Source organism: Homo sapiens, chromosome 8, assembly GCF_000001405.40.
Source record: "Homo sapiens chromosome 8, GRCh38.p14 Primary Assembly".
Classification (NCBI taxonomy): Eukaryota; Metazoa; Chordata; class Mammalia; order Primates; family Hominidae; genus Homo; species Homo sapiens.
In genome coordinates, this window is record NC_000008.11 from 94,099,272 (window position 1) to 94,125,868 (window position 26,597).

General features: G+C 40.5%; 1 annotated feature.

Annotated features, from left to right (window-relative positions):
• Window positions 20,719-20,958: an enhancer, noted in NCBI's record as "active region_27626". NCBI's record gives its function as "activates an Ori minimal core promoter by ATAC-STARR-seq in GM12878 lymphoblastoid cells {active_cell/tissue: GM12878}" and the evidence as "EXISTENCE:reporter gene assay evidence [ECO:0000049][PMID:35858748]".

Sequence of the window (26,597 nt, forward strand, 5' to 3'; positions counted from 1 at the left end):
GGGACAACATAGACATGCATTTGCAGGGAGGAGGGGGTCACATCTCGTTTTGGGAAATCAGGGATCACTGCCTGGAGGAAGCACCTCTTCCAGGAGGAGGAGAAGAATTTCAGGAAGCATGAGGTAGCTCAATGGCACCAAATGCTACTCAGATCAAGGAGGATGAAACCAGGGAAAGGTTATGACTTTGATAAATAGGAGGTCCTAGGTCACCCTAGAGAGGGGATTCTCAGAGGGTAATAGGGCTAAGGTTGTGACAAAGCTAAAACTCCAAATGAGGGCACTATTGGAGAGAATTGACCACTGTAGGAAATAAAATGGTAGAAAGCTGGAGGGACTAGCAAGAGAAGAGACAGAGTCTGCAGAGTTGTAGGAAAAGATGACCTAGGAGAGGGGGAGATGAATGATGCAGGAAAAGAATAGGAAGAGCAGAATCAAGGGGGAAGGAGACAATGGAGCTAAGATACAGGTAAACTTGGTGCCGGGGTTGGGGGCAGGGGGGGCTCTGGGAAAGAAAGGAGTCATTCTCCAAGGATGCTACAAATCACAAGACAGTCCCAAATGATCTCATTTCTAAAAACATCACAAAGCTATGCTGGAGAGTTGTTGAAGAGAAAGTCTTTAAAACTATTTCCATGGACATTCATTTAAAGAATAAATCTTCTTCATTGCAGGAAACATCTTTAAGAAAAGGAGAACAGTGAAAGGTTTTAAACAGGGTTGGAGGCAATACAAATAAAGAAGCATAAAATTCAGCTTGGCTAAAGATGAAATCAAGAACAGGATTAGCATTAAGTATATCTTGGGGAATGGAAAAAATGTTCTAAGAGTCCATATTAATAGAGTGGGGTTATCTGTGGGGCAGAAAGATAGCCAATGACTCTCAAGCTATGGCAAAGAAAAACAAAAGGATTAGACCACTGTAGATTATTTTAGGGAGGGTTGGGAAAGTGTCTGTTACAGGGCTATCCCTTTACATTAATTTATAACTCCCCCTACCCGGGTGAGAACTCAGCATTTGTTCCTCCCCTGAGCTTAACTTTAGTTCTCCATTTACACTGGGTCTGTATCTGCCTTGTGCTGGCTGTTTTTCCTCAATGGGTTCTTAAGAAACACCTATAACTGCTTTACGCAGCATGTCACTACCCCACTAACAATTTTCAATAGAAAGCTTCAGTACTTTAATCTGTGCCATTTTCCCCACTCATAACCCTCAATAGATTTTCTGTAGCTGTTTCTAAGGTGACATCACAAGCAGAAGGTAACCGAGAGACAATAACTAGCATGTATCATGACACATACCTACTATGTGCCAGGCAGAGTTTTACCTGCATTTTCTTTTTCAATCCTGACAGCAACCCTCTATCCAATCTTTGTCACATACCAGTTGTGTAGCCTCAGGAACAGTTCTTACTCTTCTTCCAATTTCTTCAATTTAAAATGCAATAAAAATAGTGATAGAGAATATGTCAGAATTGTGAAGACTAAATGAGTTTAACACATTTAAAATACTTAAAACAGTGTTCTGTATTCAGTAAGCTCTCAATAAATGTTTATTTCCAATAGGAAGAGGTCATAGTCATCATTATCTGTATTTTACATATGAGGAGGTTGCATGTTTAAACTACCTCCCTAAAGTCATCATAGCCAGCTAGTAAGTGGTGGAGCTGGGTGATGCTAGGTCCTTTCTTCTTACACAAGACATCAGTTAGAATGGTGAGCTAACAGGGCTCCATGCTTCAAGAAAGAAAGGTAAGATGCCATGGTTGTGTGGATCAATCTCATTGCCACTCCTCTTCAGCTGGAAGTGGTAAGTGACTGTGTCTTGCTCCATTTATTTGCATGCCCAGCTTGTTTGCATGGTTTTGCTGGGGCTTCAGCTGTCCTGTGAAATTCTGTGAGCTCCCATTTCTTTCTAACTGGATAGAGTGTGAGCCATTTATGGGCAAAAATCTTCTCGGAACTTTGACCACAAATATCTGCTGAACAGGGAGTTCTTCTGCAGAACCCTGGTGTTTTATCGTGTGAAAAGAAACATGGGTCATAGGATTTGCAAAATGAATCACAGAGGCAAAGATTCCTCCATATGAAATATCATCATGGGCTTCTGTTGGAAAAAACATTGAACGTGCTTAATTTACTTTTCGTGATCCTCTTGGGAGTTGGCTCTCAGTGTATGTGCCTCTAAAAAATTTCAAGACTCTTCATACTCATGCTAAAACTGCTGCTTACTGATGTTTTATTATGCTACAAGGAGAATCACAGCCTAGATTTCAACATTCTGATGTGTAAGGACTTCCTGTATTGCCATACTGTCTGTCTTTCCAGTGGCTGAAAGAGATTCTGAAGCCTCTGGTTTGTTCTGTCCCTCAGCATCATCTTCACTATATAGTTATTATGATTATGATTATTATCTATTGATGACAAAACTCACGTGCATTGATGCTAAGAGGTGGTTCTAAGATTTGTATAGTCAAGGGAAGAACTAAACTGATGTTTTCCTTTTTGCCTTAGCTGTGGGAATATAAATATGTCATAGTCTTCTATTAAGACTGTGTATGATTGCGAGTAAATAAAAACCCAACTTAAAAGCATTTAAAGAAATGAGAATTTTTCTCATATAACAATAAAAAAAACAAGAGGGAGGCCATTATTGTCACTACTGATTCAGCGCTCAGTGATGTCAGGATTGTCCCAGTTTCTCATTTGCAGGATGGTTGCTGAACATTTGTCCCCTTTTATCAAGATATGTTCCCCCACCCTTAGCAAACATCTGCTTATATTCATTTGCCAGAATGGTAGCATATGGCCACTCTTATCTAGCTGCAAAGGAGGCTCAGAAAGTAAGCAAGGAAGAAGGGAATTGGGAATGGGTGTTGGGAAGGCCCACCCACAGTGCCTTCACATCTGAATCTTGAAGGTTATGTTTATACAACTCCTAAATAACTGACTCAAAATTTTCAGTCAAGTCAGTGAACAAATATTCAGAGATTTATTTGGTGATGTAGCCATCAACTGTAATTGTATATTTTATTGTTCAGTAGGTTGTTAGGCTCTATTTGGACAGTCTAATCCCACTCAAATCTTCTATGCCTTTGGTTCACTGATATGCTTAGATAAAATCTGAACCAAACCAATGGTTTTCAGTGGCATTCGGTGAATCAGTGCTAGATTAGCTTCATAAGAGTTACCTATGTATTCTTGAGTCAGTTTCGGTAATTTGAGTCTTTCAAAGAATTCGTCCATTTTGTCTAAGTTTTCAAATTTGTTGTCATAAATTTGTCCATAATATTCCCTTATTTAATGTTTGTAGGATCTAGTGATATCTCTTCTTTTGTTCCTGATATTGGTCATTTGTGTTCTCTCTCCCCTCTCCCACCTCCGTTAGTCTCACTTAAGGTTTATTGAGCCCTTCAAAGAGCCAGCTTTTCCATAATTTTTCAAAATTGCTTTTTCATTTTCTAGTTTATTACTTTCTGCTCTTATTTCCCTTCTCCAACTTACTTTAGGTGTAATTTACTCCTTTTTCTGGTTTCTTAAGATGAAAGCTTAGATCATTGATTTTAGGCCCTCCTCTTTTTAAAATACAAGCATGTGGGGTTATAAAATTCCCTTTAACAACTTCTTTAGCTGCATCACACACATTTTAATGTTGTGTTTAATGTGTGTTTTAATGTTGTGTTTTTCATTTAGTTCAAAACGCTTTCTAATTTTCCCATTTCCTTTTTTTGAAAACATTGTGTAGTTAAGTATGTGGTTTGACTTAGCGATTTCCCATATATCTTTCTGTTACTGATTTCTAGCTTAATTTCACTACAGTCAAAGAACATACTCTGCAATATTTTGATTCTTTTAAAAATGTTGATTCTGGTTTTACAGCTCAGCATGTGTTCTAGCTTGGTGAATGTTTCACGCACCCTTGAAAATAATGTGTATCCTACTGTTGAGTACAGCATTCTATAAGTGTCAACTAGGTCAAGTTGGTTGCTAAAGAAGATCAAATCTTTTATTTCTTTACTGGTTTTTGGTCTACTTCTATAAATTACTGAGAGAGGAATGTTTATCTCCAAATATAATTAACATTTTTCTATTTTTCTGTTCTTATTTTACATATTTTGAAGCTTTTAGGTGTATACACACTTAAGATTGTTATTTCTATATGATAAATTGACTCATTATAATTAAATGTCCCTCTTTCTCTAGTAATGTTTCTTGTTCTGAATTCTACTTTGTTTGATATTAATATATCTGCTTCAGGTTTCTTACATTTAGTGTTTGCACGATATATGGTTTTTAATTCTTTTACTTTTTACCATTTAAAAAAATTTTTTGTAGACAGCATATATTTGGGTCTTACCTTTTTAATCCAGCCTGATAATATTTTAATTGTGCTTTAATAAGATATCTTATTTTATCAATGTAGTTGAATTTAAATATACCATTTTACTAAATGTTTTCTATTTGTTTCATCTATACTTTATTACCATTTTCCTCTTTTTTTGGTTTTCTGGGATTATTTTTTGCATTCTATTCTATCTCTACTATGTATTCTATAGATCTCTTTGTTGCATTTAAAAGTTTAAGGTTTACAATATGTATTTTCAACTGATAGCCTGTCTTCAAATAATATGCCATTTTGTGCAGAATATAAAATCCTCTAACAGTATATTTCCATTTCCTGTATATCTTCCTTTGTATTATTTTGTCACACATTTTATTGCTACATGTTATAAACTTCAAAATACATTATTTTCACTTTAAACAGTCAACTATGTTTCAAATAAAAATGTAAAAGTCTCTAATATTTACTCATATATTTACCATTTCCAGTATCTTTATTCTTTTGTTACGTTAGGGTTCTCCAGAGAGTCAGAACCAATAAGATATACACAGACATACACACACACACACACACACACACACACACACACACACGTATATATATTTACATATATATAGATCTGTAGAAAGAGATTTACTTTAAGACTTTGGCTTACACAGTTATGGAGGCTGAGAAGTCCTGTGATGTGCCATCTGCAAGCTGGAGGCCCCGGAAAGCTGGTGGTGTAGTTCTAGTTCAAAAAAGTCCAGGGAACCAAGGGAGCCAATGGTGTTAGTCCCAGTCCAAGTCCAAAGGCCCAAGAACCAGGAACACTGATATCTGGGGGCAAGAGAAGATGGATTGTTTCAGGTCAAGCAGAATGTGCAAATTTGCCTTTTTTCTGCCTGTTTTATTCAGGCCCTCAGTGGGTTGGATGATGTCCCCACACATTGGTGAGGGCAATTTACTCAGTCTGATTGAAATGCTAATTTCTTCCAGAATACTGTCAGAGACATACCCAGAAACTGTTTTACTGAATTTCTGAACATCCCTTAGCCCAGTCAACTTAACACATAAAATTAACCATTCATTTACATACATTCAAATTTCCATCTTGTATCATTTTTTTCTTGCCCAAAGAATTTTCTTTTAACATTTCTTGTAGATCGTATTTGCTGATGACAAATTTCCTTGGCTTTTGTTTGTGTGCAGAAGTTTTATTTTATCTGTATTTTTGAAAAGATTTTCAAAACATTTTGTGTATTTTATCTATACTTTTACTGGATATAGAATTCTAGATTCATAGGTTTTATTTCAGCATTCTTAAAAAGTCATGTCATTGTTTTCCAGCCAGTATGGTTTCTACTGTCAAGTCTGCAGTGGTTTTTATCTTTGTTTCTCTGTACTTGGTGTGCCTTTTTTCTCTGTCTGCTCATAAGATTTAGGTTCATTACTGGTTTTCAGGAATCTGATTATAATGTACCTTGGTGTATTTTGGGCAGAGGGAAGGGTTGGGGGAGTTTATAGTATTTATTAATTTCAGAAAATTCACAGCCATTATTCAAATATTTTTTCTCCCTCACCCCTTTTTCTAGGACTCCAATTACACAAATATTAGAGTGCTTGGTATTGTACCATGGGTCATTGAGGCTCTGTTATTTTTAAAAAGGACTTTTCAGAGCAGTTTTAAGCAGTTTTAAGTTCACAGCAAAACTGAGCAGAAAAGTACTGCTACCATGTACGTCCTGCCTGACACAAGCATAGCCTCCCCAGCTATCAACATAATGCTCCATAATGATACAGTTGTTACAACTGGTGAACCTACTTTGAGTCATCTCCCTTTCTCCACTGCCAAATCCATAGTTTACATTAGAGTTCACTCTGGGTATTGTACATTCTAAGAATTTTGACAAATGTATAATGACATGTATCTACCATTATAGTATCATCCAGAATAGTTTCACTGCCTTAAAAATCCTTGGTGCTCTGCCTATTCATCCCTCCCTCCCCCTCAACCCCGGCAACCACTGATGCTTTTACTATCTCCATAGTTTTGCCTTTTCTAAGATGCCATATGGTTGGGATCACACAGTATGTAACCTTTTCAGATTGGCATCTTTCACTTATTAATATGCATTTAAGATTCCTCCATGTCTTCTCATGGCTTTAGAGCTCATTTCTTTTTAGCACTGAACACTATTTCATTCTCTCAATGTACTGCGGTTTGTATATTCATTCACCTATTGAGGGACATCTTGGTTGCTTTGAAGTTTCGGCAATTATGAATAAAGATGTTATAAACATCTGTTTGCAGGGTTTTGTATGGACATAAGTTTTCAACCCATTTGTGTAAATACCAAAGAGTGTGATTGCTCAATTTTATGGTACAAGCATGTTTATTCTATAAGAAATTGCCAAACCATCTTCCAAAATGGCCGTACCAGTTTTCATTCTCACCAGCAATGAATGAGAGTTCCTGTTGCTCCACATCCTCATCAGCATTTGGTGTTGTCAGTGGTTGGATTTTGGCCATTCTGATAGGTGTGTGTGTAGTGATATCTCATTTTAATTTGCAATAACCTAATGGCATACCATGCTAAGCATCTTTTCATATGCTTATTTGCCATCTTCTTTGGTAAGGTATCTGTTCAGGTCTTTTGTACATTTTTAAAATCAACTTGTTTTCTTATTAACAATTCTTCATATATTTTGGATTACAGTGCTTTGTCAGAAGTGTCTTTTGCAAATATTTTCTCCCAGACTGTGGCTTGTCATCTCATTCACTTGAACTGTTTAATTTTAAAATTCTTTTTTCTCGGTGCTTCAGTTTAGATATATCTATTGCTGTCTTTAAGTTCATTAATCTTCTGTGGTGGCTAATTATCTATTAATACTTCTAGTGAGTTTTTTATTTCAGATATTGTTTTTTACATTTTTAATTCCTGTTTGAGTTCTTATTTACATCTTCTTTTGCTCTCCTTACTATATTTTTTCTTTACTTAAATATAATAATATCTGTTTTAATATCTTTTTCCACAAGTTTCTTTATATCTGTCATTTCCAGGATGGTTTCTATCAACTTCTACTTATGTGTCACATTTTTCTCTACCTTGCCATGCATAGTGATTTTTGATTGGATGTTGGAAATTGTGAATGTTACCTTGTTGAGTGGCTGGATTTTATTGTATTCCTTTAAGGAGTGTTGCATTTTATTTTGCAACCAATTATTTGCTTATCTGTTTTATCCCTTTGAAGCCAGTGAGTCTAGAGTATTCTTTACCCCAAGAATGGTGCAGCCATTCATCAGATAATCTTCTCTGATCATCACAGAAGGTCATTCACATCTTCTATGATGTGATACCTCTAGGTTCTCCACTGAATGTTGTGGGTGATCAAAATGGACTCATCAGTATGACTGATCAGAGCTGAAACTTCTCTCCTCCCTGTGTGAGCTCTGGGAATTGTTCAATTTACAACTCTCCAGTCATTCTGTACCCAGATTTTTGGAATTTCCCATTTTATGCACATGCAGCACTGTACTCAGCAAAGATTCAAGGGAAAACCTATCCAAATTTTTGTAGTTCTTTTTCCTGTGTTTCTCCCTCTTTCTGGAGCTCTGTCTCACAGTTTCTGCCACTTCAGTCTCCTCAATATTTCTGTCCATCTCTTCAACTCAACAAGTGATATGGTTTGGCCATGTCCCCACCCAAATCTCATCTTGAATTCCCATGTGTTGTGGGAGGGACCAGGTGGGAGATAATTGAATCATGGGGGCAGGTCTTTCCCATGCTGTTCTCATGATAGTGAGTAAGTCTCCCAAGATCTGATGGTTTTGAAAAACGGGAATCTCCCTGAACAAGCTCTCTCTTAGCCTGCTGCCCATCCATGTAAGACATGACTTCCTCCTCCTTGCCTTCTGCCATGATTGTGAGGCTTCCCCACCCACATGGAAATGTAAGTCCAATTAAATCTCTTTCTTTTGAAAATTGCCCAGTTTCAGGTATGTCTTTTATCAGCTGCTTGAGAACAGACTAATACAAGTCTGCCATACTCTGTTTGGGTTCCTTCTCCCTGTGTCAGTGCTCCATAAATTTCCTCTGGGCAGCAAGCTGGAGCATTCACAAGGCTCACCTTGTCTGTTTATCTTCCTTCAAGAATCAGTCATGTGGTGTGTATAGCCCAATGTCTGAAAACAATTGCTCATATTTTGTATAGTTTTCTAGTGGTTTATGGTAGAAAATTAAGTCTAAACCTCCTTGCTCCATGGGAGAAAGGTGAAGTTTTTCCACGTAATTTTCGATATGCAATCATGTTTGAGGACCACTGATATTAACAACATTGACACTAGTTTGATCTATATGTTATCAACAGCATGATGTTATTAATGAAATCACCCTCCCAGGTCCAATTTAAATAAACATTTCCAATTTAAATAAACATTTCCTTTTTTTTTTTTCAGACTGAATCTCACTCTGTCACCCAGGCTAGAGTGCAGCGGCGTGATCTCAGCTCACTGCAGCCTCTGCCTCCTGGGTTCAAGTGATTCTCCTGCCTCAGCCTCCCAAGTAGCTGGGATTACAGGCAAGTACCACCACGCCCAGCTAATTTGTGTATTTTTAGTAGAGAAGGGCTTTCACCATGTTGGTCAGGCTGGTCCCAAACTCCTGACCTGAAGTGATCTGCCCGCCTCAGCCTCCCAAAGTGCTGGGATTACAGGTGTGAGCCACCGTGCCTGGCTAAATAAACATTTCTGTACTAAACAGTACTAATAGTTTATAATATATGGTACAGGCAGTCTACTAAGGACTTCATTTATAGCATTTCATTTAATCTACACAAATACTATTATTAGATCCATTTTATAAAAGGAAAACCCAAGGTTCAAAGACATTAAATAGTTTTTCCCTGTGTCATTCTGCTAGTAGATGGCATGCTAACACCAGATCTTGTGCTTTTAACTTCAATAACACATTCTAGGGAGCCTATTGAATGGCACATAGATTACACAACTGCAGTCCACCAACATTCAAAGCTGGAAAACCACATTTGTATGGAGTTAAGTTAGTAGAGACGGCTCATGTTGAGTAAAAATCCCAAAAGCCAAAAGATATTAGCCCATGTGCCTCTAAGTACTTGACATTTTGAAATGTCAAGTTGATAATCAGATTATCTTAATGTGCAAAAAAATTTACCCCACTGGAATTTTACATTTTAAAAATCACTCTGTAATCCTACAAAGTTAACATCTTTACCCCATTTCTAAATTTCACCCCATGACAACTTCTACCTGGAAGTTAAGGTCAGGGTGTTCTAGGCTGGGGGAGGATCAGGAATAGAGAGATCCAGAAATCTGTTGGCTATGTCACTTGGCAATTTTAAAAAAGCAGTAATTTTTCATTTTGTTGAAGCATCAAAACACTGAGGTTAAAGCAGTTAGATCAAAATATTCCCTAAATCAAAATAGCTACATCCAGACATTTGTGTTAAGTCAATCCTCTTAAAATGTTTTTCTTCAGATCTCTCCTTTTTTAAAAAAGAAAGTAACAAATCCCATTTTAAAAGATGGCAATTTGGGGAATATTTTGTTTTGGTGACCATTAGTCGCCTACTTTGTCTCTTCAGTCAAATTGGGTTGGAATTTTCTAAGCAGACGTTAAGGCCCTGAATGAGCAGACCAAAGAGTAAACTGAGTCTAAGAAGACTTCTGTCTTCTCAGCTTAGTCATTTAGGCAAAGATGTCTTCTGTGTTCCTTCTTAAGTCCACAGAGCCACAGCTCATTGCTATTAGGTGAGATAATGGCTACAATGTGCTTTTTAGCAATAACATAGCAATACTTGTTGAGATAAAGGAATCCATGTCTATTAATACAGATTCCTAACATAGTAAATGATTGCAGGAATGTGCTTGGATACACGTGGCTGTTGGCAGGTCTCCGGTCCTCACTGGGTATTAACCAAAAACATCAGTGGTTTTTTTTTTTTTTAAATATGAGCTTCTCTTAGGGTAGCTCACAACATAGCAGCTGGCCTCCCCGAGAACAAGCAAGTGAGAGACAACTTTTGTTTCCTAATATCAAAAGCGACATCCCATTACTTCTGCCAGATTCTATTCACTAGGATTATGTCACTAAATGCAGTCCATACTCAGGGTACGAGATTGCAGAACTGCATGAATGCCAGGAGTTGGGGGCAATCTTAGAGGCTGCCTACTGAATTAATCATGTATGTAAATCGCCGCCCAGATTACCACTTTGTTGTGAAATCCACTTGATGCCCATTGGTCCTGATTTTGAGGTCTCTTACTGCATTGCACCTTGTCAACCACTTGTTCCTTCTTATAATTTTCTTCTCTGACTTTTTGTCAGCACTTCAGTCTGCAAGTTTTCATCTTAGTTTTTTTGACCACTGTTTTTATTCTGTTTCACAGGGCCATCATACTCTGACAAACTTTGAGTAGAACTTTCAAAGTACTTTATTCTTCACCTTTATTCTGCTTATTAGATGTTGTTTATTCATGTATTTAGTATGAATTAAATGAACATTTACTGAGCATCTAATATGAATTAGTTGCCCTGACATTAAGCACTCTTATTGGCAGAACTATTTAAAGATTAAATTCCTTTGAATCAGTGGTCCAAGGTTTATATACATTCACATTATTCGTTCTTAGGAGAGACATACTGAAAACTTCTTTCGACTCTACTTTGCATCTACTAAATTTGAAATCACCTGCAAAGGCAAGTGGAGAAAGAACACACCATTCAGCTTTGTTTCCCATTTTGCTTTTGGAACATATGATGTAGTTTAAAAAGTCGGTAATGTTTGTCCGAATTTGCTCATCTGAAAGTGATTTAAGTTGAGCAATTTAATGATTGGAACATTTTGGAGCTTTTTCCAGGACACCAAAACTCTTAGCATGGTTTAGGAATTCTGCAGCACTCTGACTGTTCCCAGCTGCTTGGGAGTCTTTGCTGAGTACTTCTGTAACTCCACAGATCTGGCCTCACAGAGAGATTTTCATGCATTTTGTTTCCTTTAAATATTTTCCCATCGATATTAGGATCAGGCTCTGATTGTGGGAAAATACCAGAGACAAAAATGGTTGAAGGTAGCAAACATTACTGCAAGCGTTTCTTTACTAATCATTTGGTGGAAGAGTCCTTGAGCCTGGAGTCTAGGAACATCGAAAATTCCTTCTGAAGACCTGATAGGGTTATAGGGTTCTGGTTTTTTTTTTGTTTGTCTTTTGAGACAGAGTCTCACTTTGTCACCCATGCTAGAGGGCAGTGGTGCAATCTCAGCTGCAACCTCCACCTCCCGGGTTTAAGCGATTCTTCTGCCTCAGCCTCCCCAGTAGTTGGAACTACAGGCACCTGCCACCACATCCAGCTAATTTTTGTATTTTTAGTAGAGATGGGAGTTTCATCATGTTGGCCAGGCTGATCTCAAACTCCTGACCTCAAGTGATCCACCCACCTCAGCCTCCCAAAATGCTAGGAATACAGGCGTGAGCCACCACACCTAGCCAAGACTTGATAGGGTTCTGTTGAGCGAGAACATTAATGGGTAGGAAACTACAAGAACAAAGGCTGTAGGGACTGCTGCTATTACTTTCTGTCTGCCTTTTAGGAATTAAAAAAGTAATAAGTAGAAAGTTATAATAAGTGAATAGTGCCTGAATCTGAAGATGATGATACTTAGCTAAATTCAGAGAACCCTAATTCAGGGAGCAAGTATCATGCCAACCATTGAGATGACTCTTTGGACAAGGCTCTGATTGACAGAGCAAGCTTCACATTCGCTACCGTGGTGAATGCTCACTTGCCCTCAATGAATGCTTTCTTCCTTTCTTTTCTCTCTCCTTTCCTTCACCCTGAGCATTTTTCCATGCTTCCTTTATATTTTAAATGTGGTTTTATAAATAAAGTTATAAGCATTACTAATGTTAAGCTGTATGAAAGAGCTGGACATATGTCAAGGAGAAAGCCATTTAGGGCAGGGTTCCAGAAAACACGTACCCAGATGACTTCATTTCTTCCTCCATCACATGGTGTTGTCCTTGGCTGAAATGTGGCAATCAATATTCTCTTCAAACTCTGAAATAGCTAGAAGTTTCCTTTGGGTTTGCAGCAAAGGATTTTGTTTAAATTTTTAAATTGTTGTTTCACTATATAGCAAAAAGTTATTTTTAGTTTGTTCTTACTCTTATTCAATCATGTATAATTTGGGGTAAGGAGAGACTTTCCAAATTAAGTCACAGATCAGTTAAAGCTAAAATGAGATTCCTGCTCTTTAATAGTTTCTGACAAGTAGGATACAGAGTGTGATCTATATGGTTAACAGGCAACAACTTTGGGCTCAGATGAATAGAGACAACTTGCTCTACTAGCATGAGCAGAGAACTGAACTTCTAGAAGGTCTTGGAACACTTCAGTTTAATTCAATATTTACCAAGCAGCTGTTTTATTGAAGATTCTTTGCAGATATTGGAGTTCAATATTAAGCATGATCTCCTGCCTCAATGAGCTCAGAGTGTGTTCTTGCAGGAGGTGGGGTAGGGGGAGGAAAATTCATGAATACAGAACAAAAATAAGACTTGATACTCTGTAAACAGATATGTCTCTAGACAATATTTTTTAAAATGCCTATTGAACATCAATCAGGACATGTATAAAATGGTAACAAGTCTTGACCTTTGGTTACTTTCAAAAGTATGGAAATCCATGAGTTGAGAGCAATACAAGTACATAATTCAGTGATTTAGATGTTGTGTTCTATTATCTCCCTATGTGAGAAACAAAACAAAACAGGAATAGCTGATAGAACACACTGTAATTGGTGAGGTCTGGCTGTACTTCTTACAATTTGCATAAATTTATAAGGTACAAGTGTAATCTGGTTACATGGATATATCGTGTAGTGGTGAAGTTGGGGCTTTTAGGTTATCCATCACCTAAATAACACACATTGTACCCAACTCGTTCCACTTCTAAAAACCTTGAAGGGATTCTAAAATACAGTCATCTGAGAGCCTTTCTGGTTACTGGGGGTCATTCTGTCCATGATCCAAAAATGAAGACAGCATTCATCGTGATTTTTCCCCAAATAGCCTCATTCCTAGACTGAGGAGCCTTATGAGAGTTCAGTCTCAAAGTCATGTTGTGTCTCCCGAGGGAGCCCACAAAAACACACTGAGGAGAAACTGGACAAATGTTCCTGGTGGTCTCAGCCCCATGTTTCGGTAAGTAGGAGGAGGGACCCAGGAGGGAAGAAAGCTGAGGTCATTCCAGACACTGAACATGAAGGTGCTTCAAACCTGCAGCCAATAGAAAACTTTTTGTCCCCACACAGACTACTTTTTCTCCCCCAGCTGTTTTTTTTACTCTCTAGCCACCCCTAACTGTGATTTCCACCTGCCCTGTTCAACTCTTACATCTGTTTGACAGTTTCAGCGCACATCAACCTCTCCATTCTTTGAGCAGTTCAGTAGCTGATTATTTTCTGTGTCTTATGTGCATCTTGACTCATTAATTCTAAGCAAAGCTGTTTGTTCATTCAAATATGAAGCACCTACGACATGGCAGGCAGCATGCTCACTGCTGGATGTAGCAATCCCACTGTCAGGGTACATCTTCAAAGTCCCTGCCCTGAAGATGCAAACCAATAAAACACATAACTACACATTATGAAAAGTTCTAGGGAGGAAATGAACGTGGTGCTATGATGGAAAATTCTCAGAACTTCTCAGAGGAGGCAGAACTTCTCAGAGGAGGCAACAGTTACACTGAGACCCAAAGCAAGAGAAGAAGCCAGCCATGAAAAAGGAGCTGAGGGTAGGAGAACATTCCAAGCAGAGGCACAGGTAAAGGAACAGAAGTGGAAGGAGGCTGACCTTCACAAGGAAGCAGCAGATGGCCAGGCCAAGAGCTTATCAGGGGAGGAGGCAGGAGATGAGGCCCAGCAGGAAGAGAGGGGGCCAGATCCATCAGGCCTGCCAGTGTTATACTTCATTCAGCACTTGGTGCCTAGTGTACAACTTCCATCAATAACCCCCTTGGTGCCCAGCACAGACCTTCGCTCAGAGTGAATTTTCAGCAATACTTGGCAGGTGAAATGACTCAGAGGCCCCAGTCTTGCACCAGCATTTCCAGAACCTCCCTGACCGTCAGTCCTCCCCAACCTGACTTCAGCATGAGTTGGGACTCCCAAAGGTCTCTCTCAATCCTTGTGTTTGGCCATATATACCCTCTCTCAGCCTTCTCCCAGAAAACGAAGTGCTCAGTGGACAAGAATGACTTTGGAGAGCATGACTTGTCCCGAACCTCCCTTCTGAGAGGTGGCCCAGCCACATGGTTGACAGCTGAGACTGGAGAGCCATGCTACTGGAGATTCTCGTCCTGGCTCCATTATCCGCCAGCTGTGTGCTGGGGTAAATCAGCTAATCTCCTGAGCCTCAAGCCTCTCTCCTGTAAAATGGATCTCATGGGGGGTCTTCTCAAGGTTTCTATGAGGATTAAATGGGGCGATGCACAAAAAGCCCCTTAACACAGTGCTCAGCATGTGGTTAACACTCAGTAAGTTGTTAGCTACTGTTATATTATTAACATTAGCATAATCAACCAAGGCCCCTAAGATACTCAAAATGTCCCAATTCCACTCCTCCCTTCTGTCTTCGGAGGAACTGTAAGGCTCAGCTGGATGCCACTTCCTCCGTGAGGGTTCCCAGGTAACCTCAGGCAGCAGTGATTTGCTCCTCTCTCTGCCCCTGCAGTAATTTGTACACTTCTCTCGGGAGACAGTTGATGCTTACCACATAACATGGCAATGCCATAAGCCTGTCTCTCCTACTCAACTGCCAAGTCTTTGAGAACAGGCATGGTACCTTTTTGTAAAAACTGTCAATCCACGTTTTTTGTTTTTTGTTTTTTTTTACATTTTAGTCTCTCTGAAATTGAAGATGTTCTTGCCAATAATGGCATGTTGAAATTAATTGACAGTGTTCTTTTTTGTCCCGGTATCACATAAAGTAAAGATACATCTTACAATAGATGACACCTTAGGTTAGGTGAAATGCCATTAACTTTGGGCATGGGCTTTGGAGTCAGATTTCTGGGGTCACTTATTTGGCATGCGGCCTTGAGCAAGTTACATAACCTTTCTCTGTGGCAGCTTCTCATGTGAACAATAGACATAACAATTGTCTCATAGTTGTTGCAAGGATTCGGCGACAAAATACATTGTAAAGCATTAGAATAGTGCCTGGCACATTGTTAATGCTGCATATTATCTATTATTATTGATAATAGATAATATTATCAATAAATCCTTGCCCCCCTCCTCGTAGGCCCCAGGAAGGCTGCCTGAGATACCACTGAGAGAGGCCTCAGTGGGAAACCCTCAGCTGGGGCCTTTCCCCCCATGCCCCACAGCTGACCTGTCCGTGTCAAGACCCTTTCCCTAGTTTTGTGTTCTCCATGACCCAAGCCATGACTGACTTTGGTTGTGACTGAACAGAGCCCTGGGAAATTCTGCCTTTGGGATTTTTCCTTGGCCGGGAGCCAGAGAGAGGTCCAATTTGTCTTCTGCTACCAAAAATATATTCCATTTCCTTTCAGTCCTGTGTTTAATTAAAAAGAGGAACTAGAATTGCTGGATAAACACGTGCTATTTTTATTCCCACCTCCCACTTGCAAACCCTCCTCCTCTTCCTAATGTAGCCTTCAAATCCCAGACTTGCACATCTGCCCAAATGTCGCAATGGAAAAAATGGATGTGCTTTCCCTCAGTCAGATGAACTTTTGCTTCTGTAGCCCACTCCTCCTTTCTTCAACCTTCCTGCCTCCCTGCCCAGGAAGAGGAACATGTGAAAAAACATGCTTTGATTTCTGTCCAAAGAAACCAAGGATGATTTGGAGGCCACACATGGAAGCCGCAAGCATGACTTTGCTTTTGCCGTCAACATAATTATCCCCGGATTCCAGGGCAGCCCCTTGCCCTTTAGAATTGCCTACTATCTCAGTAGTCAGTAGCCCACCATCTCAGTAGCCCACCATCTCAGTAGCCCATCCTCCTTGTTTTATGGGCCCAGATGGCTTGTAAATGACTCATACATAGCAGATACAGGAAATCGTTTTGAGATGTTGAATGGAGCTTGCATCATGCTGGTAAGTAAACATAAAAACATGGAAAGTCAGTAAAATGGTTGACATTCAAGGCAGACCAAAAAAAAACAAGAAAAAAGTCAATAAAATTAGAGTTAATTGTATTATAAAAATATTGTTTTTTCATTGTCGATGTTATCTAAGTCATCTTTCCAAGCACATACTTAAAAGAATCACTTGACACTAATGTGTATTTTTGAGAGCTGTATCTATGGTGAAAGTGAAGCACTGCTGCTCATTGCTCAGCTCTGGTCTGCAAAGGAAGGCTGCTCTCCTGCAGGCAAGAACCAGCTTCTTCATGCTTCAGGGTTGGGGTTCGCAAGGTTCTGCCATGGTGACAGAGTGACCCAGGCCGCTCTTAGTTGAAGGATCTCTGTGGGCTGAGGAATCTTCCCTGAGTTCCAGGTCACAGTCCGAGTGGGCATCAGAAAGGCCTGGGCAGGACCGGTTAGGGTTAAAAGTGCCCAAGAGGTTAAGGGCATTGGGAAGCTGATGTTGTTCTGAAGGAGGACCCTGATTCAGATTCTGTATCAGTCAGCTCAGGCCACCATAACAAAATACCATAGACTGGGCAGCTTAAACAAGATGTTTAATTATCTTAATTCTAAGGCTAGAAGTCCTAGATCAAGGTCCGTCAGGCCTTGATCTGAAAAGGCCTTTCTGGAAGGCCTCTCTTCCTGGCTTGCAGATGGTTTCTTCACTGTGTACCTGTGTGGCTGCTCCTCTGCATGTGTGGAAAGAGAGTGAGTAAGCTCTCATGTCGATCTACTTTTTTTTTTGAGGCAGGGTCTAACTCTGTTGCCCAGGCTGGAGTGCAGTGGCGAGATCACAGCTCACTGCAGCCTCAACTTCCCAGGCTCAGGTGATCCTCCCACCTCAGCCTCCCAAGTAGCTGAGACCACAGGCATGCACCACCATCCCAGCTAACTTTTGTAATTTTTTTTGTAGAGATGGGGTTTTGCCATGTCACCCAGCCTGGTCTCGAACTAACCAATCTGCCTACCTTAGCCACCCAAAATGCTAGGATTAGAGGTGTGAACCACTGTACCTGGCCTGTCTTTACTTCTAAGGACACAAGTCCTCTCAGATTAGGGCCCCACCCTGAAGACCTCATTTAACCTTACCTCCTAAAGCCCTATTTCCAAATATAGTCACGTTGGGGGTTAGGGCTTCAACATATGAATTTTGCAGGGGACATAATTCAGTCCTTAGACACTAAAAAGAATCATATTCCACACCAGCCTGGTACTAACTTGGTCTTCCAAGAATTGTCTGGAACAAGGGTTCTCAGCCATGGTTGCATAGTGCAACTACCAGGGGAGTTTTAAAAAAATACTAAGGCTAAGGCCCCATGCCTGGAGATGTTGATTTGAGGGTGGAGCCCTGGAATGCATATTTTTTAAAAGCTCCTCCAGGTGATGCTAACATACATTCATCAAGAACCCCTGTACTAGACAACTGGTCATCCAACAGCTGACTGCTCCTTGGGGCTCAGCCAGAACAAGACAGACTTCTGTAAGGAGAAACCTGGGAGCACTGAGTGTGTGTGTGGTGTTTGGGGAGGACAAGTGTATTGTGTCTATATTATGTGGATATATCTTCACAGGTACAAAATGTGCATTTATGTGTATACAATATGTCTGACACATATGAATGCATAAAAAAATAAAAAATAGCATTAATCTTGAGACAGTCTCATGAGGCAACTTTTTCTAGGTTTGAATGCTACTTTCTCTTTCTCTCTTGATTACTATTTTAAAACTTGTTTTCAAATGTTGCCATTGTGGACAAATATGATTCCATTTATATGAGATACTTAGAATAGTCAAATTTATAGAGACAAAGTTACAATAGTGTTACTGGGCGGAGTTATTGTTTAATGGGTACAGAGTTTCATTTGGAAGGATGAAGTTCTGGAGCCGATAGTGGTGATGGTTGCATAGCACTGTGAATGTACTTAATGCCACTCAACTGTACACTTGAAATGGTTACAATGGTTTTTAAAGTTGATACTGAAAGCTATTGTATTTTTTCCATGTTTACCAAGCTCTCATGATGAATATGGCATTGTAGAGAATCCTGGAAGTGAATCAATCCCTGTGTGCATGAGATACTTGAGGTAATCTCTGCTTTCTGCTTGTGAATTAGCTATACCATGGATCAATACCTTGATATCTCCACTCTTAGATTTAGTGCTCCATAGAAGCCCCCAAGACTTTCTACATAACTGCTCACAAGACCCTCCAACTCTATCCCCACCTACCCCTGAGACCTCTCGGTCTCACAATCATTGCTTAATCATCTAGAAATTATCAAGAGCTTTGCCATTCACAGGCCTCATTCACAGCTACGACCTGCTCTGAGGATATTTGAATGGAGCATCAGGGTTTGCAGGTAGAGAAAAGGAGTGTGGTGAGGTGGGGGATGAAGGGGTCTTTGAGTATACTGTAGGTGAACACAAAGGATGACAGTTGTTTTCTTTAGTTCAGACTTTGTCAAATGGGTGGCACTTTAGCTGTTGTCATTTAAGTGGCCAAAGTGAATCAGCTATTTCATTTATTCCTTCTTCAAAAAATCATGGAGGAAGCACTATGAGCCAGGACTTGGGCTCACACAGTGGCATTGAGAGAGATTCTAAGAAGTCTCAGCCTATGTGGGGAAATCAAACAGGCACTAATGGTAGACTAGGAGAAGGGCCATATGCAAAGTGTCAATCTCCACCTTTTTGGTTGCAAGGGGCAAAAAATCATGTTTTAAATTAAAAAAAAAAAAAAAAAAGAATGTTTTGCTCATAGGATGGAAAAGTCTAGGGCAAGGCCGTGCATCAGAACAGCTGGATCCAAGTATTCAACAGCTTCAAGATTTTCTCCTTTCTTGATTTTCTGTAGTCATCATTCTGGGGAAGACTCACCTCTTATGGTAACTGGAATACTTTAATCTTCTAAGAGTTCCAACTAAAATTCTCCAAGTGAATCTTGCTGAGATAAAGTGCCCAACTCTAGAGCTGAGGGGATGGAGAAAAATGGGGAGTTGGCTCTATTCAAATGATATAGACTGGATGGGAACTGGGGAGCCATTTCCCATTGTGAGATCCAACTATTCTTACTACAAGAGGGAATAGAGCCTGGCCAGGGAAACCATTGGCCTCACTACAATGTGGAAGTTTAGATGTGGCCTGGTGTCCTGTAAGAAGTCAGAAGGTTTCCCAGAGGGACCAGTATTTAAACTGGTCTTTAAGAATGGGTTGGAGCTGGTCATGGAAAGATGAGAGGGTTGAGGGAAAGGACCCACCCAGGAAAGAAATAGCACAAGCAATATAAATACGAATCAATGATTTGATGAAAAAGTTCTGTGTGATCAGTCTATTATTGCATGACACAAGTTGGTCCAGAGAATAATATGGTGTTGAAGCGGGTGAGTAATGGTATCTTCTAGTAATGATATGATTTCCTGAAAATAAGCAGGGCAAGCAATAATGCAATTTTAAGTGACCTGAACATCACATCACTCATCGCCTAAAAACTTACAAGTAAAAAACCTACAGAGCTGCTTAAAAAGTTCTACTATTCCTCAGTGCTTGGAGTATAATTTGTGAATTGAATTTGCTTTTGGTGCTCTTGTGCTTTTGTTTGGTTTGGTTTGGTTTGGTTTTGTCTTTTGAGGTCAGACAGGAGAGAACCTTACCCATTTCCAGGTGGAAAGAGGTCAAATCGTTTGAAACACAGTATAATATTGACGGTGTTGGCGGCCCTGCTGGAGCGGCCGCTGCAGGGAGGCCAGTTGCAGTTGGGGAGGCACAGCCGGGGCTGCACAGGCGGGAGTCCCGCCCCCCACCGAGCTGGCTGGGTGGGAACCCTTAGCTCCTGGGCACAGCTGCTGTGGTCCCTGCACGTTCCTGGAGGCCCAAAAAGCCCTCTGCCTCCACAGGCTTGAAAGTGCCTGCTCCTGCTCCCTGACCTCTCCCCACTCCCAATGCCTGCCCCAGGGTGGAGCAAAGTTGTGGCCAAGCCCGGGCACTGTTGCAACCCAGCCGGGTGTGCATGAGCTCAGGGGAGTGCTGACATACCAGCCCCCTGCTGCCTCGGCCCCCTCCGGACTTGGGGCACCAACAAGCGCCAGAGGGAGGCTGCCGAATGGGGAGGGTGCTGAGGGCGGCTTGGCACAGGCCAGCAGGCACCTCTCAGTGCAGACAGCCTAGGCGAGTGGACATGTTAAAGGCAGAGGAGTTCCTAGGCAAGGTAGGGCAGGTCCTCTGTGAAACCCCCACCTTCAGGTAGGGGACAGCCTGAAGCCTGGGGCGCGGGCTGTCAGTTCCAGGTGAAGTCCGCCGCCTGGAGTGAGAGCTTCATTGATGACGGTTCAGCCAATCGGATGGTGGTTTTTCCAGGCCCGCCCATGGCTACCCATGGACCAATCAGCATGCACTTCCTCCATTCTGCGTACACGAAAACCCTCACACTCAGTCAGACTCACACCCTCACCGGGAAGACCTGCTGGAGAAGGTAGCTATGCACTTCAGGTCTCCTGAGAGCTGTTCTGTCACTCAGTGAAGCTCCTCTCTTGCCTTGCTCAGCCTCTAGTTGTCTGCATACCTCATTCCTCCTGGATGCAGGACAAGAACTCGGGACCCACCAAATGGCAGGACTGAAAAAGCTGTAACACAAACAGGGCTGAAACACTCCCCCTGTTGGCCACTTTGTGGGTGACGACGAGAAGAGCTGTGGCCCTTCTGGGAGGCCAGACTTCGGGGCTGAGCCAGGGCTGTGGCACGCTGTAATACCCTCTTTGGGGCTCTGCAGTCCCTGGCATCTCCAAGCTTTCAGGCACCATCGCATTCCTTGTCCAGACGCTGATGTCCACAGCAGAATTGTGGTACATCTGGTCCAGCTGCAGCCTTGCATAGAGCTGGTGTCTGTGCCGGTGTGCCCGGCGGTGCACAGTGGCCAGACCCCACGATCGCTCACTCATACACCCCTTGGCTCTCTCTGCCTGGCTCGTTCTTGGCAGGTGTGGGATCTGGGCCCATAGCACAAGCCAAGCGCAGCCTGCTGGGCCGAGTGGGTGGAACAAGCCCAAAGGTGCAAGCAAAACCCAAGCAGAGGTGCCGCCAGCCACAGAGGTTTCCAGCTGGGGAAGTGACACCCTAAGGATCCTGTGATCTTGTACAAGAAAGCAATACGGAGGTCTTAAAAACAGTTTGGGTATTTTGTCTTTTTGCTTTTAAAAAATATAATAGATGACCACAAAGATTATGTATGAAAAACCCAACCCCATGGCCTGCTTCAACAGCCATTCTATGAGCAACCTTCCACAGTTGAGTTATTCCTGGTTAAAATTTGAGAGGTCACGTAATGTTGAATGCTCCCAAGGCTCAAATCAGGAGCCAGACAACAGTTCCATGCCTAGAAATGCTTTCAAATCACCAAGCTTCTTATTTAAAATTTAAAAATTCCTGATATACCTACCTGAAACAGTTCAATCCATGATCATGTGAGGGGTGAATTTATTTTTTTACAGACTCCTTCTCTTGGGCTAATTCTCCGTGGGAGGCAATTTTTAAATTAATTTTTTTATTTTACTTTAAGATCTGGGATACACATGCAGAAAGTGCAGGTTTGTTACATAGGCATACATGGGCCATCGTGGTTGGCTGCACCCATCAACCCGTTATCTAGGTTTTAAACCCCACATGCATTAGGTATTGGTCCTAATGCTTTCCTCCCCTTGCCTCCCACCCCAACAGGCCCCGGGTGTGTGATGTTCCCCCTGCTTGTCCATGTGTTCTCATTGTTCAACTCCCACTTATGAGTGAGAACATGCAGTGTTTGGTTTCCTGTTCCTGTGCTAGTTTGCTGAGAATGATATCTTCCAGCTTCATCCATGTCCCTGCAAAGGACATGAACTCATCCTTTTTTATGGCTGCATAGTATTCCATGGTGTATATGTGCCACATTTTCTTTATCCAGTCTATCATTGATGGGCATTTGGGTTGCTTCCAAGTCTTCACTATTGTAAATAGTGCTGCAATAAATATACGTGTGCATGTGTCTTTGTAGTAGAATGATTTATAATCCTTTGGGTATATACCCAGTAATGGGATTGCTGGGTGAAATGGTATTTCTGGTTCTAGATCCTTGAGGAATCACCACACTGTCTTACATAATGGTTGAACTAATTTACACTCCCACTAACAGTGTAAAAGTGTTCCTATTTCTCCACATCCTCTCCAGCATCTGTTGTTTCCTGAGTTTTTAATGATTGCCATTCTAACTGCCATTAGATGTTATCTCATTGTGGTTTTGATTTGCATTTCTCTAATGACCAGTAATATAAGCTTTTTTTCATATGTTTGTTGGCTGCATAAATGTCTTCTTCTGAGAAGTGTCTCTTCATATCCTTTGCCCACTTTTTGATGGAGTTGGTTTTTTCTTGTAAATATAAGTTCCTTGTAGATTCTGGATATTAGACCTTTGTCAGATGGGTAGCTTGCAAAAATTTTCTCCCATTCTGTAGATTGCCTGCTTACTCTGACAGTTTTTGTTGTTGTTTTTGTTGGTTTTTTTGGTTTTTGTTTTTTCTATGCAGAAGCTCTTTAGTTTAATTAGATCCCATTTGTCAATTTTGGCTTTTGTTGCAATTGCTTTTGGTGTTTTAGTCATGAAGTCTTTGCCCATGCCTATGTCCTAAATGGTATTGCGTAAGTTTTCTTCTAGAGATTTTATGGTTTAAGGTTATACATTTAAGTCTTTAATCCACCTTGAGTTAATTTTTATATAAGGTGTAAGGAAGGGATCCAGTTTCTGTTTTCTGCATATGGCTAGTTTTCCCAGCACCATTTATTAAATAGGGAATCCTTTCCCCATGGCTTGTTTTTGTCAGGTTTGTCAAAGATCAGATGGTTGTAGGTGTGTGGTGGTATTTCTGAGGCCTCTGTTCTGTTCCATTGGTCTATATATCTGTTTTAGTACCAGTACCATGCTGTTTTGGTTACTGTAGCCTTGTAGCATAGTTTGAAGTCAGATAGCATGAGGCCTCCAGCTTTGTTCTTTTTGGTTAGGATTGTCTTGGCTATACGGGCTCTTTTTTGGTTCCATATGAAATTTAAAGTAGTTTTTTCTAATTCTGTGAAGAAAGTCAATGGTAGTTTGATGGGAATAGCGTTGAATCTGTAAATTACTTTGGGCAGTATGGCCATTTTCACAACATTGATTCTTCTTATCCATGTGCATGGAATATTTTTCCATTTGTTTGTGTCCTCTTATTTCCTTGAGCAGTGGTTTGTAGTTCTCCTTGAAGAGGTCCTTCATGTCCCTTGTAAGTTGTATTCCTAGGTATTTTATTCTTTGTAGCAATTGTGAATGGGACTTCACTCATGTTTTGGCTCTCTGCTTGTCTATAATTGGTGTATAGGAATGCTTGTGATTTTTGCCAACTGATTTTGTATCCTGAGACTTTGCTGAAGTTGCTTATCAGCTTAAGGAGTTTTTGGGCTTAGTCGATGGGTTTTCTAAACACACAATCATGTCATATGTAAACAGAGACAATTTGACTTCCTCTCTTCCTATTTGAATACCCTTTCTTTCTTTCTCTTGCCTGATTGCCCTGGCCAGAGAACTTCCAATACTATGTTGAATTGGAGTGGTGAGAGAGGGCAGCCTTGTCTTGTGCCAGTTTTCAAGGGAATGCTTTCAGTTTTTGCCCATTCAGTATAATATTGGCTATGGGTTTATCAATAAATAGCCCTTATTATTTTGAGATGTTTCACCAATCCCTAGTTTATTGGGAGTTTTTAGCATGAAGGGATGTTGAATTTTATCAAAGGCCTTTTCTGCATCTATTGAGATAATCATGTGGTTTTTGTCATTGGTTTTGCTTATATGATGGATTATGTTTATTGATTTATATATGTTGAGCCAGACTTGCACTCCACGGATGAAGCCGACTTGATTGTGATGGATAAGCTTTTTGATGTGCTGCTGGATTTGGTTTGCCGGTATTTTATTGAGGATTTTCACATCAAAGTTCATCAGGGATATTGGCCTGAAACTTTTGTTGTGTCTCTGCCAGGTTTTGGTAGCAGGATGATGCTTGCCTCATAAAATGAGTTAGGGAGGATTCCATCTTTTTCTGTTGTTTGGAATAGTTTCAGAAGGAATGGTACCAGCTCCTCTTTGTACCTCTGGTAGAATTTGGCTGTGAAACAGTCTGATCCTGGGCTTTTTTTGGTTGGTAGGCTATTAATTACCGCCTCAATTTCAGAACTTGTTATTGGTCTATTCAGGGATTCAACTTCTTCCTGGTTTAGTCATGGGAGGGTGTTATGTGTCCAGGAATTTATCCATTTCTTCTAGATTTTCTCATTTATCTGTGTAGAGGTGTTTATAGTATTCTCTGATGGTAGTCTGTATTTCTGTAGGATCAGCGGTGATATCCCCTTTATCATTTTTTATTGTGTCTATTTGATTCTTCTCTCTTTTCTTCTTTATTAGTCTGCTAGCGGTCTATTTTGTTAATCTTTTCAAAAAACCAGCTCCTGGATTCATTGATTTTTTTTTTTGAAGGGTTTTTCATGTCTCTGTCTCCTTCAGTTCTGCTCTGATCTTAGTTATTTCTTGTCTTCTCTTAGCTTTTGAATTTGTTTGCTCTTACTTCTGTAGTTCTTTTAATCGTGATATTAGGGTATCAATTTTAGATCTTTCCTGCTTTCTCATGCGGGCATTTAGTGCTATAAATTTCCCTCTACACACTGCTTTAAATGTGTCCCAGAGATTCTGGTACGTCGTGTCTTTGTTCTCATTGGTTTCAAAGAACATCTTTATTTCTGCCTTCATTTCATTATTTACCCAGCAGTCAGTCATTCAGGAGCAAGTTGTTCAGTTTCCATGTAGTTGTGAGGTTTTGAGTGAGTTTCTTAATCCTGAGTTCTAATTTGATTGCACTGTGGTCTCGGAGACAGTTTGTTGTGATTTCCATTCTTTTGCATTTGCTGAGGAGTGTTTTACTTCCAATTTTGTGGTCAATTTTAGAATAAGTGCTATGTGTTGCTGAGAAGGATGTGTATTCTGTTGATTTGGGGTGGAGAGTTCTGTAGTTGTCTCTTATGTCTGCTTGTTCCAGAGCTGAGTTCAAGTCTTGAATATCCTTGTTAATTTTCTGTCTCGTTGATCTGTCTAATATTGATGTGGGGTTAAGTTAAAATTGATTTGAGGTGGAGAGTTCTATAGATGTCTATTAGGTCCTCTTGGTCAAGAGCTGAGTTCAAGTCTTGAATATCCTTGTTAATTTTCTGTCTCATTGATCTAATATTGACAGTGAGGTGTTAAAGTCTCCCACTGTCTCTTTATAGGTCTCTAAGAACTTGTTTTATGAATCCGGTGCTCCTGTTTTGGGTGTATATATATTTAGGATAGTTAGCTCTTCTCATTGCATTAATCCCTTTACCATTAGGTAATGCCCTTCTTTGTCTTTTTTGATCTTTGTTAAAGTCTGTTTTATCAGAGACTAGGATTGCAACCCCTGCTTTTTTTTTCTTTCCATTTGCTTGGTAAATATTCCTCTATCCCTTTTTTTTTTTGAGCCTATTCGTGTCTTTGCATGCGAGATGGGTCTCCTGAATACAGTACACTGATGGGTCTTGACTCTTTATCCACTTTGCCAGGCTGTGTCTTTTAATGGAGCATTTAGCCCATTTACATTTAAGCTTAATATTGTTATGTGTGAATTTGATCCTGTCACCATGATGCTAGCTGGTTATTTTGCACATTAGTTGATGCAGGTTCTTCATAGTGTCATTGGTCTTTATATTTTGGTGTGTTTTTGCAGTGGCTGGTGTCAGTTTTTCCTTCCCATATTTAGTGCTTCTTTCAGGAGCTCTTGTAAGGCAAGCCTGGTGGTAACAAAATCCCTAAGCATTTGCTTGTCTGTAAAGGATTTTATTTGTCCTTTGCTTATGAAGCTTAGTTTGGCTGGATATGAAATTCTGGATTGAAAATTCTTTAAGAACGTTGAATATCGGCCCCACTTTCTTCTAGCTTGTAGGGTTTCTGCAGAGAGATCCACTTTTAGTCTGATGGGCTTCCCTTTGTAGGTAACCTGACCTTTCTCTCTGGCTGCCC